This window comes from Homo sapiens, chromosome 4 (genome assembly GCF_000001405.40).
Source record: "Homo sapiens chromosome 4, GRCh38.p14 Primary Assembly".
NCBI lineage: Eukaryota > Metazoa > Chordata > Mammalia > Primates > Hominidae > Homo > Homo sapiens.
In genome coordinates this window covers 182,465,343-182,483,834 of record NC_000004.12, presented here as the reverse complement: position 1 = coordinate 182,483,834, position 18,492 = coordinate 182,465,343, and the positions used below count along the sequence as shown (strand labels likewise).

The window sequence follows — 18,492 nt, the reverse complement described above, 5'->3', positions numbered from 1 at the left end:
GCTCTGGCTATGTAAGACATGCCTCATTCCTCTTTGCCTCCTACCATGATTCTAAGTCTCTTGAGGCCTCCCCAGCCATACTTCCTGTACAGCCTGTGGAACTGTGAGCCAATGAAACCCCTTTTCTTTATAAAGAAAAACTACCAGTATCAGGTAGTTTTTTTATAGCAATGTGAGAACAGACTAATACACAGACATACTAATGGATATACTGACAATCTTGTTATATTGCTATACCTTCCTAGACATACCTCATTGTTGAGATATATGGGATCACACATTGCTCCTTTTGTTATTAGTATAGTAGTTCCATTTCTAATTTCTAGAAACAATGGTTAAATCACATCTAGGAGAACTGGTATCAAATGACCCTAATATTTGAGAAGCTGAGTTGCTTGATCCTTTAGGCTCTTACATTAACTATGTGACTACAAACTAGCATCAAGTCATTGGCTTGCAACTGTCCTTCAATATGGCATAAAGTGCTGGTATTAAATGATAGCTCTGGAAAATGGTACTGTTACATAAACATAAACACACACCAGTGCACGTCTACTATTTATTCCAACCATCTACTATTTCTGCTACAGAGACACGTTGATAATGTGCCATAGAGACAAACACAATGTTGTTAGTCCAGCTAAAAATCTCAGCACTAGATAAAGCAAGAAAACAATTTTGTATTTTTGGCAACGCATATGAAACATGCATTAATGAGTTCTGCTTTAAAGCTTGAATATGAAATTGTGGTGATGATATGCTCCGTAAAGAAAAAAATAGCTGAAGAACAAACATGTTCTTTTTCTTTTCCTGTAAATATTCCTAAAGCAATATGAAAATTTGGGTAATATTCTTAATTTCAATGAAAACTTTAAGTATATGACATGTAGAGAGCTAAAACAAATCTAAAAGGAATCTGAAATCCAAAATTAATTCATATATTGAAGGTCTACACTCGTAACTGCTTCCTTGGATCTTTTTAATTTTAATGACCTCTTTTAAGTACACTGTGATATGTTACAAAGAAGGCATCTTATGGGAGAAGGCCATAAAAATAGACCATATTCCTGTGTAATACCTACCTACTGTTTCTGAAAAGAACTGACATGAATGCATACATCTCAAATAATGCAGGTGTGTCAGAGACAATGCTGTCTTGCCATGTACAAGACAATGCCTATGTGTAGACATTTTCACAGGTTAGCAAAATTATACTAAAATTGCAAAAGGTTAAGAAAGAAATTTTCTCATTTTATTTTCAATTTTTCTTGTATTCTAACCTACAGTGCAGTGAAGATTCTGTTCTGCAATGCCAAAATTTAATCATATTGATATATTCCACAATAATAGTTGCAGGATTACACTGAAGGGTAATTTTTTTAAAATCACAATTAGTGGTGGTACCTTCCACATTACATTCTGCCCATGTTATTAAAAGGCAAATAAAATCAATGTATGTATTATGTTCATAGGAACATACAAAAAATCTACAATATAGATATAAGCATATTAATAACTAGGTTTACTTTATCCTTATTTTGAAAGAAAAGGAACCATAAATTGAAAAGCATTATTGTAATTAAGCCAAACGTATTTATAGTAAAATAAGAGTTACCCTTCAAAACCTATTTTTCAGTGAGTGATTCTAGGTCAGCATGTCTCAATGAAAATCACTGAATTTACATTATTTTTATAAGTTATAGATACAATATTTAATAAAATTCAATGTATAATTGGTGGCTTTTGTTTTAGGTTCATAGGTAAAAACTGAAGTATAAGTTTAATTAACATTGCATTTAAATATACTCAATTAAGATACAGTATCTGCATTTACTTCAGTGTTGTGCACTGTCTAGAGAAATTTACTTCTTTGGTATGTCATATTTTGCCTTCCATTACAATAACCAGAAATGAAAGAAAGTAACAAAGAAAATATCACTTCTTAAATTTTGATATAAAGCAAAAAATCATTAAGTTATTGTTAGAAGTAAATTATAATTGTATTGTATTTTATTGTATTGAGTGAGTGATTGATTTTTGAGACAAGAGTCTCACTCTGTTGCCCAGGCTGCAGTGCAGTGGCACCATCTCGGCTCACTGAAACCCTTGCCTCCTGGGCTCAAACAATTCTCCTGCCTCAGCCTTCCCAGTAGCTGGGACTACAGGTGCACACAGCCATGCCTGGCTAATTTTGTGTATTTTAGTAGAGACGGGGTTTCACCGTGTTGCTCAGGCCGGTCGTGAACGCCTGAGCTCAGGCAATCCGTCTGCTTCGGCCTCCCAAAGTGCTGGGATTACAGGTGTGAGCCACCGTGCCCGGCCTATAATCATATTTTAAAGTAGAAAAATAATTTTAAAAAAATCTCAACGTAAGTGTAAAGGTGAGGATTTACCCTACTGAATAATGAATCTTTAAGCACAAAAGATTGTTTAAAACAGATAACTAACAGGAGCTATACTTATTTCATAAGAATTTCAGAAAAGTCAAGGTAAAGTAAAAGAGAAAATGAGGTGTCTTCTTTATTGTCACAAAGTTCAAGATAAAGAAAAGCGATTTAACTTTTAGGTTTATATCTGGACTTTCTCTTTAACTCCTTGTTTATTGTTACATTTAAATCTTGATTTAGAAATTAGTTTTTCAGTCTGTTTCTTTAAAAAATATATTTACGACTTGTTATAGAAACTCTCTTGGCCTCTCTCTGAATTATTTTTCAGAGTCTGTGTTACAAATTCTCAATTATTCACTTTGGCAAAATGCAATTTCTCAACTTCTAACCCCAAGCAATAGATAAGAGGATTATATTAAAAAAGAAAGAAAGAAAGAAAAGAAAACGACTCTTCAAATAGACTAGTATTTAACAGAAAAAAAGGAAACTCTCTCAACTACTTGTGCCTTTCAAACTCAATAAAATGACTCCGTATATCTCAAAATCAAATACCCAATTCTCTGTTCCCTGAAACAATTGCCTAAAAATATGTCAGTTCAGATTTGACATAATAAAACCATATTTTAGTCATTGACAGAAAATTCATATTGTGTCTAGAGATCCACCACATAAATTCAGAGTTAAAATACAAGAAGCCTAAGAAAATTTCATAAAATATCTATATGCTTTGATTTTTCAAAAAAAAGAAAAATTAAAATGATACAACCAATTGTTCATTAAATAGTACTGTTTTCAAAGATACAGAGTTCCAAATAGAATTAGAACCAAATTTTAACTTTTCATCTTTACGAAGACACTTTTTAAAATTAAATATATATGCATATATATGAATTTAAAGCAAATGTGTTAATATATTAGTTACTTAAGGCCTACAAGCAAACTTAAAAACTGTATTTCAAAAACAATTCTTTCACACTTTGGCAAAAGGAAATTGTGATTTTGAAAAACATCATTAGAAAACTGGCCTGCTGTGTTTCTAGGATATTTTAGCAAACAATTAACGATACCAAGAGCCTCCAGCAGCTATATTTGCAAAAGGCTTCAGTTTGAAAGACTGGGAGAGTGAAACTTAAGATATCTTGCTAAATTACTGTAAAATTCTAGACTCCACTCAAGATTTTACTTGTTAAATTATTATTATTGGTTTTATTTTTAGTGCCAATTTCACTAAGGAAGCTTAGCATGACCAAAATAAGTGAATCTTCCACACAGCTCAGAGAGATTAAAAATGTGATATCTGGAAAACCACTTTTAAAATTCTACAATAATATAGATCGTAATTCTCAAAACAGAATACTGTTGATACAATTTTTGAAACTATAATCAAATACTTCCTGTTGCTATCCATCATACCCAAGGAAGAATACAATATATTAATAGATTATGTGAAAAAAAATAACTATTCTTTACTTTTGTCTTTTCTAAATACATTTATTTTCTAAACGTGCAGGCAACACTTCAGGGAAAAAGACTTTATAATTCCATCCGTTTATTTGTTTTTACAGAATATCAATATCATAAAAAAGGTTCTTATATCTCAGAAATCCTAAATCAATATATATTGGGTTTTCCCTCACAAGAAAATTATACTCCATTAAGAGATCAAAAATATTTACTTCTAATTTTGAAGTTACGTAGAATTCTCCATAGAATGGAAAATGACAAAAAACAATTTATCAGTAGATCCTATGGTTATTTATAAAGAGTCAGAGTACTGTAAAAATAGTATTTTCAACACTACAAATGAGGATTATTACTTCAGTTTCTAAAGAAATGCCTCCCTCAATGCTTTCTTCAAACACTCAAATCCCAGCTTAATAAAAACAAATGGCATTCCTCATTTCTTCAAAATTACACATTCGATATCATAAGCCTTGCTGTTTTAACAAGATGCTACACTTTCCAATTTAGTAATTAAGTACTCATAAGCCTGAGTTTAGGCTGCAGTGTTCTGGGGATGATGGGCTGACTATAATAAATATATTTATAATCGTCAAATTCATGAATTTATTTATATTAAAATAAAATAAATAAAAAGGTAAGTTAATATAAAAACGTAGCCTGACTAATCCATAAAAGTGGTCTTTGGTATTTCATCACAGAACTAAATAAATTATAAACATGTATAGTATCATTAGAAAATTTTAACATTTCTATCCCTCAGTAATTCTACCCACTTCTGAAAATTACAGACTTTTAACTTGCCAAGCTAAAAGACTGTATTTTGTGTCTAACAGGAAACTAAACTGAACACTTAACTATATTGTTAAGGAAAATTATGACAAGTATTGGGTCCAAAGTATTTTACGTACTGAATCTTTTAGTTTCCAACTACAATTTTCAAAAAATTGAAAAACATTTTAAAAGACAAACATTCCTTCAAGTAAAATATACTAGTAAATAAAATGTACCAAATAAGAATCTATCCAATAAAATTTAGCCAACAACCATCAATCATAAAAGTCTTCCATTCCTAAAATAATCCCCACCCTAATAAAACAAAAGGAGTACTTTAAAACCATACATTTCTAGAAACTCTGCATGATTAAATAATATTTTATCTATAATATCATAACTAGTTTTAATATAACCAACACAAAATTTAAGTATAATCCATAAAGATTTGAAGATAAATTTACCCAGGTTTGTGTATTTCCTTTCTGGTTGAAGAGCAGACATCTAGATAAACTTTCCAGGGTTGATATTCTAGAACAATAGTACAAAAGCCTAAAAAAATGCTACAATGGTATATTTATTAACATATAAATTTTTTTACTGCCCTCTAGTGGCAAAGAGTCAAGTCACTGTATAAGGATGAAAGCCTGTGATTGGGAAGACTCACGGTGAGGGCTACAAAAAAATCTTGAAAAATAGTACAGCAAAATTTTACACCATATGGCACACTTCTTTACAGGAGATTAATTATTAAAAAAAAAACTCTACATATGAAACTCAAATTTTTTTCCTAAAAATATTATAAGAATGACATAAGCAGAATGAATATTAGCAAAGTACCGTACATCAACCATTAAATATTTTAACTGGCACTACAATGGCACTAATATTTCAAAAAATAAAATAGTCAATAAATTTTCACATGACATTAGAAAAAATTTGACTAATTCTTTAATTTTACTGGACTGGTTATTTTTAGTGTTTATTTTTAAAGAATGAGAGTAGTATGAAAATAATATTTTCAACACTACAAATGAGGATTATTACCTCAATTACAAAAGTTATTTTTAATTTTTTAAAATTCAAAATTCTAAAGAAAAGTGCAAAAGTGTTTAAGTTCCACAGAAACAAGTAAGCTAAATTAATATTCAGATTTGTTCCTGAAAGACATTTTACAGTTGAAACAGTTCTCACTATGTGTAAAATTGACAATTGGTATGATATAAAAGTATATATAATCTATAACTAAATTAACATTTGTTCTGCTTTGTACCAAATTAGTCACAGGTTCTCTCCAGGTATTTTCCAGAGCATCTGCATAATTTTATTCATTATTTTTTACTTTGTTTTTCAATATTCACTTTCTGTAATTAAAAATATGATTTAAAGACATAAAGTATGATTTTATTTGATTATTAAAAATAAGTATTAAAAAATAAAGTAGATGAACTGCTGTTTATCTGTGTATCTCAGATGTGATTTGTTGCATCTCAGATACAAAATGTATTAAACAGCTTGTGCTATGTAAAGAAAAGTATAATCCTGGAAACTTGGGTAATTTAATCATACAGCTTGTCTTAGGGGAAAATCATAGAATGCAATCAAGAAATAAAGAACGAAAAGACATTATAAACCTGACAGGAAAGTCACTGGAGGAGGGATTCAGGAGGCCGGTGGGAGGGCCCTATGCAGACCCATTCTGAAAGTTTTTAACCTTTAGGAACTCTGTGACCATAAAAAATAAATTTAGGCTTGATATTTGTGTTTACTTGTTTGCTTTCACATGGTGTAAACCATGCCTGGAAGCCAAGGCTGCCAGGGTCTTGCAGGGTCTCAATGAAGGTGGAACGCTGATGACGGCAAAAGACGGAAGACAGTGTCTTCACACTTCCTTCCGGGTAAAACTCAGAAAACAGTCACCCAGGATGCTCATACAAGGCTCTTTCTACCCAAGGTAACAATCCCTATACAACTCTCTAGTCATTTCAAAGGTTCTAGACTGTAAAGTGCTTGAAGGTTTTGATCAAATCGTAGATTTTGAAGAAAATGGACAGTGAAAAGTGCTGCCTCTAGCACACTGTACCAATATACACAGCAGCCAAGGTCACTACTAAAAACAAATTAAAATACTAACTGTGGCACAATCCTTGAAATAAATATTTGAAGTAAAAATATCTCACGGAAATAGTTCTGCCTCATCTTCATTCTGCTATAGATAGCGGCTGTCCTCTGGCATGGAGAACCTTATAAACAGTGTTGAACACAGACTCATTTCAATTGGGTTTAGAAGTAGAACAAGCCTGTTCAGACTAAACTTTAAGAAGTGGACAATAATAACCTTTCTGAAGATTCAAGTATGTCAAAACCAATGTCAGTAATGACCTCCTGTGAGACAACAGGAGAGATGGTATTCTTCAGCTTCTCCCATCGATAATAAGTTCTTATAACATTTACAGCAGCTGATCTTCAAGACCATGTACTTTATCCGTGGAAGTATTGTTCAGCTCACTGTCAGACCTAAAAGTTCACTTCTGCAGTTGATATAGAGGCTCCTAAGGAAAGCATGAGTAAATTCAGAGAATTACAGCAATAAAAACTTGAGAAATGAAATATATGTGTGTCCAAATATATAGATACATATACACACATGTATGTTTCTATATATAATATACATAAATCTTGAAAACATAGAATGGACTGCTGAAATTTTATGCTCTTAGTACCATTCTTTAAAAATAAACATTTTCTAACTCTTCAAAACATTGACAATAAAAATATACATTTCTCCAGCATCACAGAAATCATCAAGCCTGTCTTAAATACTTTAATATGCTATCAGGTTTTTCTTCTCTCCAAACCCAAACAATTAAAAGTCATACACATAACCACTGCCACAACATCTATCTGTTTTTACCAACAAGAGATGAAAAAAGAAATACATCTGTTTTCTGCCTCTGGATATAGAGGAAATAAAGGTTGGCTATAGACTAAAATGGGTTTAAATACAGACATTCATTTTAAACAGCCACTAAAAATCTCTGGGGAGTTTCAGCTATTAGATGAGACTTCACTTAATCAAGTGTAGGTCATTTTGGAATGAGTCAAGTAACACCACCAGGGACTTACTTTGGAATGGCAAATGCCATTTTTAAAAAGCAAAGAGGTTACACTTAGGGCTTCTCTACAAAATCTATTCTAAGTAATTTACACAAAATACTACTGTCCCATATATTCCACTTAAGCTGGAAAATATTCAAATGTACGAGAGAGACTGGAACACAGAGATCAAATTTTGAATATGATAGTACCTAGAAGCCTTGAATTCTCTTCTGGAATCCAATTATCATAGTCACTTGAGGGATACTGAATTATTATTTATCCAATAAAGACGAAGATGGACACATCTGAGTGATTGTTCAATACAGACAGACATTAAAACCATCTGTGACTACAGAAAGGTAAAATGTCTGATGAATTAGTCAGTGAAGATTAAATCCCGAGTGTGAGCTTGCTACTACTTGTCATTTTCACAAGTTAAATTTATGAACTGAATAAAGAAGTATGTATATGTATGCAGATAGATGTTCTGGTTTCTAATAATGCAAGCTACCAAAGTATCAATCTTTTAAGAGCTACAAAATGCTTTCTAAATTTCCTCTAGTATTATGGCATTTCAGTCTAACATTATTAGGCATATAAAAACACACCCCCGTCATCAATGATATGATTTGTTCACTACAACTTCCATCAAGTCATTCTGTTGAGTAAGTTACACTTTCACAAAACTGACCCAGAAAAAAAAAAATTGATCAGTTTTAAATAAGTAATATACACCAATAGTAGACACACCCATTCTCCATTCCACGACCAGTTTTGTATTTACATAATTTGATAATCACTGATATATTTTAAAAAGAATAATTTTTTAAAAAATAACCAACTTTCAAATAAGACGGCAACTTAGGCATAGGCATCTAACAGTCTTCCGTTCTAATATGAAATGAAACGACTTAAAGATACCAAACCAGGGGGTAACCTACCACTAAAGGAGTCCTCCTATTCCAGAAATAGTGAGGAATTTCTGCTGGATCCACAGCAGTTGTGACTAGTGGAAGGAAGGTACCTCCAATAAGTGTGCACTGCCCATCTTCAGAAGCCCTTGCAGTTCAGAGGACTTATATGGGGGAAATTTTAATGAAGCATGACTAACATCAACTCTTTTGAAGAGCTGAAGTGTGTAGATACGAGTAGGTCTCAGAGAGATGGGACAATGTGACTTGCAACCATTATGCACAAGAGGACAACAGCATTAGGGAGCAGCGATAATGGGAAGGTTAAATGCAAAGCTAGAGGCACACATAAACCAGGTAAGTTCAATTAAAAAGAAGGGGATACAATATTAATATCAAATAAAATAGAATTATGATAGAAGAAAGCATTCACTTAGATAAAAAAGGATATATATTAAGGTTACAGCCTACAATGAAAATATAATAGGCATGAACTCTATGTGTCAATAAAGCAAAACAGTAAGAAATATGCACACAAAGAACAGAAACAAAACAGTTTAACAGGTCTTTTAAACCTCTAAAGAAGCAAACAGGCTTAAAAAGGATGTTTGGGATTTATGTCGGTAATTTTCAATCTGGGACAGTTCTCATTGCCTGAGAATGTCTGGAAACGGGGTGTGAAGTTTTTGAGTTGCCACAATGTCTGTTAGCCTCTAAGGATACTTAGACTAAGTGATGTCCCTAAAATATAAGAGACAGTTTCTCAAAAAGAGGAATTATCCCATCCACAATGCTAAATAGTGCCCTAGCTGAATTACACTCACTCATCTAAATCATACATTTAAATATGGTTGAATGCATAGAGAGCAAATGCTGATGCCTACAAATAAGAATATTTTCAAGTGCATTAATAATCATAATATGATCATACATAAAAATGTACCATCTATTAGACCAGTGGTCTTCAAGCCATGGTATCTATAATCCTGTGAGTAAAAAATTTCTAAGGGGTAGGTAAGCCTGAACAGTTGCAAAGGAATTCATTTCAGGCCCTTATATTGACTTGGCTGATCTGGTACCTACAGAAGAGCTTCTTTTCTCATCTACCTAGAAACTTACCATGAGGCAATGCCCATTCTAGAGCAGCAAATCAAAGAGCCACGAACAATTATAATTACCACCTCATCTCATCAGGAGATACATTTCCAATACAATTTTATTTATTTATATTTAAAATTATTTTTGGAGACAGGGTCTCACTTTGTGGCCCAGGCTGGAGTGCAGTGGCACAATCATAGCTCACTGCAACCTTGAACTCCTGAGTTCAAGCTATCCTCCAGCCTCAGCCTCCAGAGTAGCTGGGACTACAGGTGGTGCCAACATACCTTGCTAATATTCTTATTTTTTGTAGAGACAGGGTCTCATATGTTGCCCAAACCCCTGGCCTTAAGCAATCCTCCCACCTCGGCCTCCAAAATTGCGGAGCCACAGTGCCTGGCCACAAATTTTTTATTTTATTTTATTTTTTTTTAGATGAAGTCTCGCTCTGTCGCCCAGGCTGGAGTGCAGCGGCGCGATCTCGGCTCACTGCAAGCTCCGCCTCCCTAGTTCACGCCATTCACTTGCCTCAGCCTCCCGAGTAGCTGGGACTACAGGCACCCGCCACCACGCCTGGCTAATTTTTTGTATTTTTAGTAGAGACGGGGTTTCACTGTGTTAGCCAGCATGGTCTCGATCTCCTGACTTCGTGATCCACCCGCCTTGGCCTCCCAAAGTGCTGGGATTACAGGCATGAGCCACGGCACCCGGCCAGTTTTTATAAACAATAATTTTTTATTAGAGCGTACATGTTTGGTTTTGGATCAAGTGTGTACAGATTATAACAGTATTTGGAACTCAAAGAAGAGCATTTGTTTCTGAAATTCAAAGAAGATCTTTGTTTCTATCTCTTAGGACCTTGAAGCCATAGACATTTTCCAAATATATATATGGCTGCATTTGTTGCAGAAGGGTACAGTAAGTTGAACAATAAAGGAATTTCAAGAATAAAGGTATATTATATTAAAATATTCCAGGAAATGTGGAATGAAAATACAAATTTCAAAGAGAAGAAATAATGTAAAATATTCTAGTGTTGAGGAGTTTCGTAAATTATTAATAAATACCTGATGGTGAGCATCCGATTGGAAGAGCATATAGTATTTGTTTATAATTATCAATGGACACTGAATAGTCATGATATAATAGAGGCCAGCAGTTCCAGACCAGCCTGAACAACATAGCAAGACTCTGTCTCCACAACAACAACAAAATGATACAATTAACCGGGCATGATGGCATGCACCTTTAGTCCTAGCTACTTGGGAGGCTGAGGTGAGAGGATAGCTTGATCCCAGGAGGTCAAAGCTGTAATGAGCTATGATCATGCCATTGCACTCCAGCCTAGCAACAGAACGAGACTCTCTTAAAAAAAAATTGTGATATAACAATTTATTTAAAATATCAATATTTGTCATACACTGGAAATTAATCCTTTGCAATTATTTTTACTTGTGATGAAAAGTATTTGACTTCAACTTTAAAATGTGTAGGAGGGTATTGAGTTCATCAAATTCTTTTAGTGAGTATGTAAGCAAAAAGTTTGAAGATCACTATGTAAGAGGCAAAGAAAACCCTTACAAATCTTTAAAAAGCTTACATATCCAAGCCACATTTTCTGTTATCAATGAATTAAACCTAGAAAGTTTTAAATAGTAAAAATCAAAATGTCTAGAAAATCAAATATTCAATCACAAAATGTACACAGAACAATTTTAAAAAGAACACCTACACATGGAATGGGGACAAAGTTGCATTTAGCAGCATATTAATAGCCATAATTATGTCTAAGAAAAAGAAGGGGATTAATAAAGATTAGAGTAGAAATTACAAATTAGTAAATTGAGAAAGTAAGGTTCAAAAAATATGTAAGACAGAGACCTCTTGCTAATCATGAAAGAAATATAGAGAACATAAATTTGCAAATTTTAAGATGAGAAAATGGAAGTTACAGTTACATTTAGGCAGAATAATAAAAAGTTCAAGGTCTAAAAAGAATGGAGAACTAATTTATAGCCTCTGCTCTATAATTTACTTGCAAGACAAAAATCCCTTGAAATTCAAGAGTCCACTCAACAAATTTCCCCCTAGGTATTTTTAGTAATTAAAATTAACTACTCTTGTAACTTTTAGAGAAATTCTAATTGGAAACAGTGACAGAGGGAGAGTCCAGAGAACTATAACTCACTAAAATGAAATGACACCATCTTAATTACCTTTGCTTATAAGGATGATTTAATGAGGTTTTAAAATAAAAGTTGACTTCTGAATACAATTTTTAAGAAAACAGGTGAATAAGACATATGATGTACTGTGCTATCCTAAGGAATAGTGCTTAAATAATCTATTCACCTCGGATTATTTCTTAAGTACACTATTTCATGACATGTTTATTTTATAATATAATTACTTTATAAGTAAAAGCATTTATACATGTTATAAACATATACTTACACACACACACACACACACACACAGAGGCATGTGCCACATAACATTTCAATGATGAACCACATATATGATGATGCTGGTCTCATAAGATTGTAATATTATATTTTTACTGTATCTTTTCTGCTTAGATACACCAATACATACCATTGTGCTACAACTGCCTAAGGTATTCAGTAGAGTACTCTGCTGTACAGGTTTGCAGCCTAGGAGTAACAGGCTATACCATACAGCCTAAGTATGCAGTAGGCTATACCATCTTGGTTTGTGTAAGTACACTCAGTGATCGTAGCACTACAATGACATCACCTAACAATGAGATTTTCTTAGACTGCATCCATGTCTTTAGGCAACACATGACTGTGTAAGAAAGTTCATCATACACACACAATTCATAGTGGCATACTTATGCTCCTAACACTGGAAGGCCATTTTTAAATGTGTTTAGATAATCTGAATGTTCTTGCATTATCCCTATTACAGTGAAGTGTGTATTATGCTGAGGATAATTAAACATGTTTTAGATTATCTTTATTTTCCTCTCCGTGGCCCAGCTTTTGGTCATTTCACTGCTCATTAAAATTTCCACAAGAAAATAGGCAGAAAAACAAATGCAAATAAAATTCGAGGCAAATATAATTGTATTCACATTGACGGACGTGGTAAACTCTGTTACTAGAAGATTTCTATACTAAAAAATAATACTGATCTTCATTTAAATCACTTAAAATATTGCAACAAATCTAATTTCCTGAACACCCGGTAATTGTTGTATTCAAATGGAAAAGTTTCAGAGCTATGCAACTAAATGTGTTGCAATTTACCTGGGAATCATGGAGAGTTTTGGTTTGAGGCTAGTTCTCTAATGACTTACAACATTGAAAAGGTCTCAGAACAGACCCATTCCCACATTCCCATGGTGAAGTTTTAGAGCTTTCTACATAATGGATACACCCTAACTGACACAAATGTCCTATGGCAAATCCTTGCCTGGTGTCTACAGGAGCTCAAAAGCATGGTGGTCCTTACAATGTGTTTTATTTTTATTTTTGGCAAAGAGTAACCAAGGATATGACCCTTTTCTCTTCTCTTAGCAGCCATTAATGTATGTTTTTCCCTCTCCTTTCCTCATTTTGAAATTCTACATACATCCTATTCTATGGTCTAGTGCAAGTGGTCAGGTTGAAGTCCAGATGCTTAACCAAAGGAGCTGTGTTCTTGGCATTCAGAACTAGAATTGAGAACAAGAATTTCGGGATGGTCCTTCTTATCATTCATATGTTAAACGGGGTTAAATAGAATGTATGGATTACCCTGGGAAACTAAGATATTGTGAGAAAATACTTTCTGAATTATAAACAAACTTCTAAAATACAGGTTTACATAAATTAGGGGTTGCCTTTCTCTGTTTACTATAGTTTTTGATCATCACATTTACAACAGAACACTTACATATTATTTTCACTAGTTAATAAATGACTTGCTTAGGACAGTACAAACAGATAAATGACTTTAGGGGCCCATTACGAAGCCAGTTTCTACAGCATATAAAATGGTTTCGTACTTTTTTAAATGATGACCTTACCCAAGGGACAAGTTAGCATTCACGGTCACTTGGGATTCTTTCTAACTCTATGATTTCATTACTCATTTCTAAAATGGCCCTGTCCCCGCTGGATATTTTGTAATTAAAAAACTAAAATTTATAGGAACTCTTCCAGATGTCCTGGGATATCTGAGACAACAGAAAAAAATATCATTAAAATCACTGTTTACATTTATGTTATAAAACAGGATTTTACATAGATATCACACAGACCAGAAAGCTACTTGAATTTCTCTAAAGCAAATGCCATTATTTTAACAAACTATTGGTATAATGGAGAGAATACTGGTTAAGCATCCAGAAAGCTGGCTTCCAGTTCTCTTTTTTTTTTTTTTTTGAGACAGAGTCTCGCTCTGTTGCCCAAGCTGGAGTGCAGTGGCATGATCTCTGCTCACTGCAACCTCCGCCTCCCAGGTTCAAGCAATTCTCTTGCCTCAGCCTCCTGAGTACCTGGGACTACAGGTGAGCGCCACCATGCCCGGCTCATTTTGCATTTTTAGTTGAGACAGGGTTTCGCCATGTTGGCCAGGCTGGTCTTGAACTCCTGACCTCAAGTGATATGCCTGCCTCAGCCTCCCAAAGTGTTGGGACTGCAAGCATGAGCCACCGTGCTTGGCCTAAATCTCTTCACTTCTTTGGGTCTTCATTTCCTCAAGATCTTGGTTAAGTCCTTCTCTATCTAGAGTTACAAATAACTCTTCTGAACTTTAATATATGAAATATGAATTACGTGAACTAAAAATGCAGCAATTAATGCTTTAATTTTATTACAATAAAATTATGAAATTGGGGCATATGATAGCAGAGACTAACACTAAAACAGAGACATTAAATCTCAGCTTGTTTTAGTTTTTCAAATTCATTCAGGCAGACATTCAGATGCTTATCAAGAATACTTAAGAATAAAAATAAACTAATCACAAATAATGTTTCCATTGGAGATGCACAAACAAACATAACTTTCAAAAATCAGTTGATGACCCTTCTGGCTAAGTAAAAAAGATCCTAAAATCATCTCATCGTCATTGATTTACTGATCTTTGTTTTAAATCCATATAGAGATTAATTTTTTCTTTAACTCAGAGTAACTGGCCAATAGTTCAAAATATAGATAAATTAGTGATTATTAGTATTGGAAAAAAGAAGACACGATGTTAATAGCCTAATCAACATGCACATACACACACACACACACACACACACACACACACACACACACACACACAAGCACACAGGATTTTTTTTATTTTCAATTTACTTGAAGACTCCTGAAAAATAATGAAAGAACTTATGGGTACAGAGCCTAACATAGTATTGAAGGAAAGTCTCCTAAAAGTAGTATGATGCCAAGCTGCTATTCTGCTAAACAAATCAACAGAACCAAAAAAGCAGATCATAACAAGGGAATGTTTTATTTTCATCATCAGGAACATTTCCAGGTAGTAGTAGACAAACAATACAATTCTGATCAATACTAACAGACACCTGAAATGCAGATGTTATGTGTTAGTTTAAATAAAAGGATAACGGAAGAATTTCAGAACTAAAAAAAATCCAAACCATTGCTTTTGAAGGTCTTTGAGGCGTCTGTTAGGGTTTTGTTATCCAGCCCAAGTCATGTAGTTGGTAGCTGAGCACAGATCAGGACTCATGTCTTCTGGCATCCAGCACAGCATATATACCTTACCTTGAGCTTAAACCACACAGCCCCACCCACAGCGGAAATCTGACCACTGTCAAATATACGGAGCATCCTAATTTTGTATAAAAACAAGTTAACAAAGTAACTTTTGTTATGTAATGCCTTTTTAATAGTTTGCATTTTTTTGTAGAGACAGTCTCCCCTACATTACCCAGGTTGGTCTCAAACTCCTGGGCTCAAGCGATCCTCCCACCTCAGACTCCCCAAGTGCTGGGATTACAGGCATGAGCCACCAGGCCCGGCCTAAAACATTTTTAAACTGGCAAAAGGTTTTCATAAATGTAATGCCTATTCATATTATTATGAATTTAAGTTTCATAGGTAAGATCATCACCCATTCTTTCTCCTCTTCCTGTGCAACCTGAGGAAAGGAGGACATTCTCTTATGCCTGAATGAGGAATCTCAGTAGATGACACCCATTTACAAACACTACAAAATATCAGATTGAAGTCCCTGATTTAGAACCCCTTCCCATCCTCCACCTCTATCCTGCTCCCCTAAAAAGGCATAAACCACTCTAACACTCTAATTACCAGATTGGATCTTTACAGGGTGCGTGTTCATAAAGATGGGTTTAAACTATATTCCATGTCATTATAGTTCATATATAGACTCTCCTACTGGCAGGGGTGACCCAAAGTGGAGTTGTAGGCCAGACACAGTGTGTGCCTGAGGCTCTTCTCTTCTCTGTGGCCTCCTTAAGTCCACTTCTCTGAAAGGGCTTTCCCATATCTAATTAACCAATAGCTGCTCTCAGAAAAGGATCTCATGCATCATTCCTCGGGAACATAACACTTTAGATCCCAGGATATCATTTATTGTCTTGAAAAATGATGACAAACCTCTTGAAATTCCTGGCCTAGATATCCCTTCATTCTTACAGATAAATACGTCATGTGTTTATCAAAATATGCTTTATGTATATTTATGGATATCAGTTTTGGTATTTATGGTATCAGTTTTGCCACTTAAAACTGAAAGCCAAAGATAATTTTCAAAATAAATTACAAATCAGCTTTGTTGACAATCATAAAGTTCACTTATATCATTTCTCTTTTACATTAAAAAGTTTGTAAGTTTAAACCTTAAAGAGAAATTGAGGCAACAGACCATACTCACATAAAGTTTATTATAACTAATGACTAGGATACTCTAAGATGCTTAATTTACCACCAGAAGGTTTATAACTACATTTTGAGTGCCACAACTAGAGTATGGCAGTCTCCAGAATTTTTGTTTCTAGTTTTTAAAATTCTGAAATAAAAAAAGCATAAAAACTAAATTTTAATTTCCCCTATGATTGAATAGCAAACATTCAAAATTCTATGGCTGGCTTACTAGCACTTCCCATAATGTGAGACTCTTGGGAGAAAAGAAACATAAGTCAGTTTTGGCAGATAAAATATCTTTAAAGAATAGGAGTGTGAAGGCAAGAATGCTCAATTCTAACGTATCTAAACCCCCTAAGGAATGGGAAAGGAAAAAAAAAAAAAACTGAAGACAGCAAAGAGAAGCATTTTTTTACCTTCTTGTATCCTTTTCCTCTGTAGTAAGTTGGAAAGCGTGCCCTCAAAATTCATGGCCACCAAGAAGCTCGGAATGTGACCTTATTTGGAAATATGGTCCTTGGCGTATAATTGGTTAAGATGAGGTCATTCTGGATTAGAGCAGCTCTAAATCCAAAGACAGGGTTCTTATAAGATAAATGGACACGCAGAGGCTGGAAACTGGCTCACACCTGTAATCCCAGCACTTTGGGAGGCCAAGGCAGGAGGATCGCTTGAGCCCAGGAGTCAAGACCAGCCTCAGCAATATAGGGAGACCCCACCTCCACAAAAAATATAAAAAAAATTAGCCAGGCATGGTGGCACACACCTGCAGTCCCAGCTACCTGGGAGGCTGAGGTGGGAGGATCACCTGAGCCTCACAGAGACACAGAAGAAAGAAGTCCACATGAAAATGGAGGTAAAATGATGCAGGTACAAGCCAAAGAATGTCTGGGCAACCAGAAGTTGGAAAAAGCAGGGGAGGATTCTTCCCTAGAGTATTCAGAGGAAGCATGGCTGTGTCAACACCTTGATTTTGGATGTCTAGCCTCTAAAACTGTGAGAGACTACAATTCTGTTGTTTTAAGCCACTCAGACTGAGCAATTCATTATGGGAGCCCTAGGGAACAATCATACCCTTAAATGCATAAAAACCCAGTGAATGAAGAATTACATCTTTCTTGCACCCATACAGTGCTTTTGTTTTGTCTTCATGTATTCTTTGGTGATTTACATTGAGGTTTAAACTAATCCATCAGCCTAACAGCCTAATAAACCATAACGTACTTTGGTTTCAGCCTTCAATAATAGTTCAGGTTTATCTATGTTTAGTCAAGCTTAATAGAGAAATGAGACTTGGGTGTACTTTGGCCTCTTATATTAAAAAAATAGAAGAAAACATTCTCAATAAAAATGTTAAAACTAAAAAAACTTTAAAGACATTTTATTTTATATGCAACTGGTCAATATTTATTAAATTATATGAGTTACAGTATTATAAAAACTGTTGCTTTTACTTTCTTACAACAGTGTATATGGTTAGTAGTGAATTTCCTGTATCTTATATTATTAATAATAAAGCACCGATGTCAGAAACATAGTAGGTACTCAGTAAATACTTATTAAATTGAATTGAAGACTCTAGCAGTATACTTTTTTTATAAATAGCTGGGGGGAGTATTCTAATTCCCTAAGACTTTGGTAAAATCATTTATTTATTTGCCCCATATTTTAGATCCGGCCGCTATAAAAAAAATTCCATAAACGGGGTGGGTTACAAACAACAGAAATTTTTATCTCACAGTTCTAACGGGCTGGAAATCCACGTTCAAGGTGCCAGGAGATTCAGTGTCTACTAAGGCATGTTTCCTCATTCAGACACAGCCGTGTGCTCCCTGAGTCTCCCTCCACACAGCAGCCGGGGCAAAGGAGCCTCCTTTTTCATCATGGACCAGTCCC

At 34.3% G+C, this 18,492-nt stretch overlaps 1 protein-coding gene across 31 annotated transcripts in view, besides 1 other annotated feature; it reads right to left on the bottom strand.

Moving 5' to 3' along the window:
- Positions 1-18,492, bottom strand: part of TENM3 (teneurin transmembrane protein 3) — a 1,355,412-nt gene that overhangs the window by 319,190 nt on the left and 1,017,730 nt on the right. The gene's annotated exons all lie outside the window — the stretch shown is intronic.
- Positions 17,802-17,971: an enhancer, noted in NCBI's record as "experimental_76678 CRE fragment used in MPRA reporter constructs". NCBI's record gives its function as "activates a minimal promoter by MPRAs in K562 erythroleukemia cells, with activity observed for both the introgressed and non-introgressed 4:183387102 variant alleles {active_cell/tissue: K562}" and the evidence as "EXISTENCE:reporter gene assay evidence [ECO:0000049][PMID:34662402]".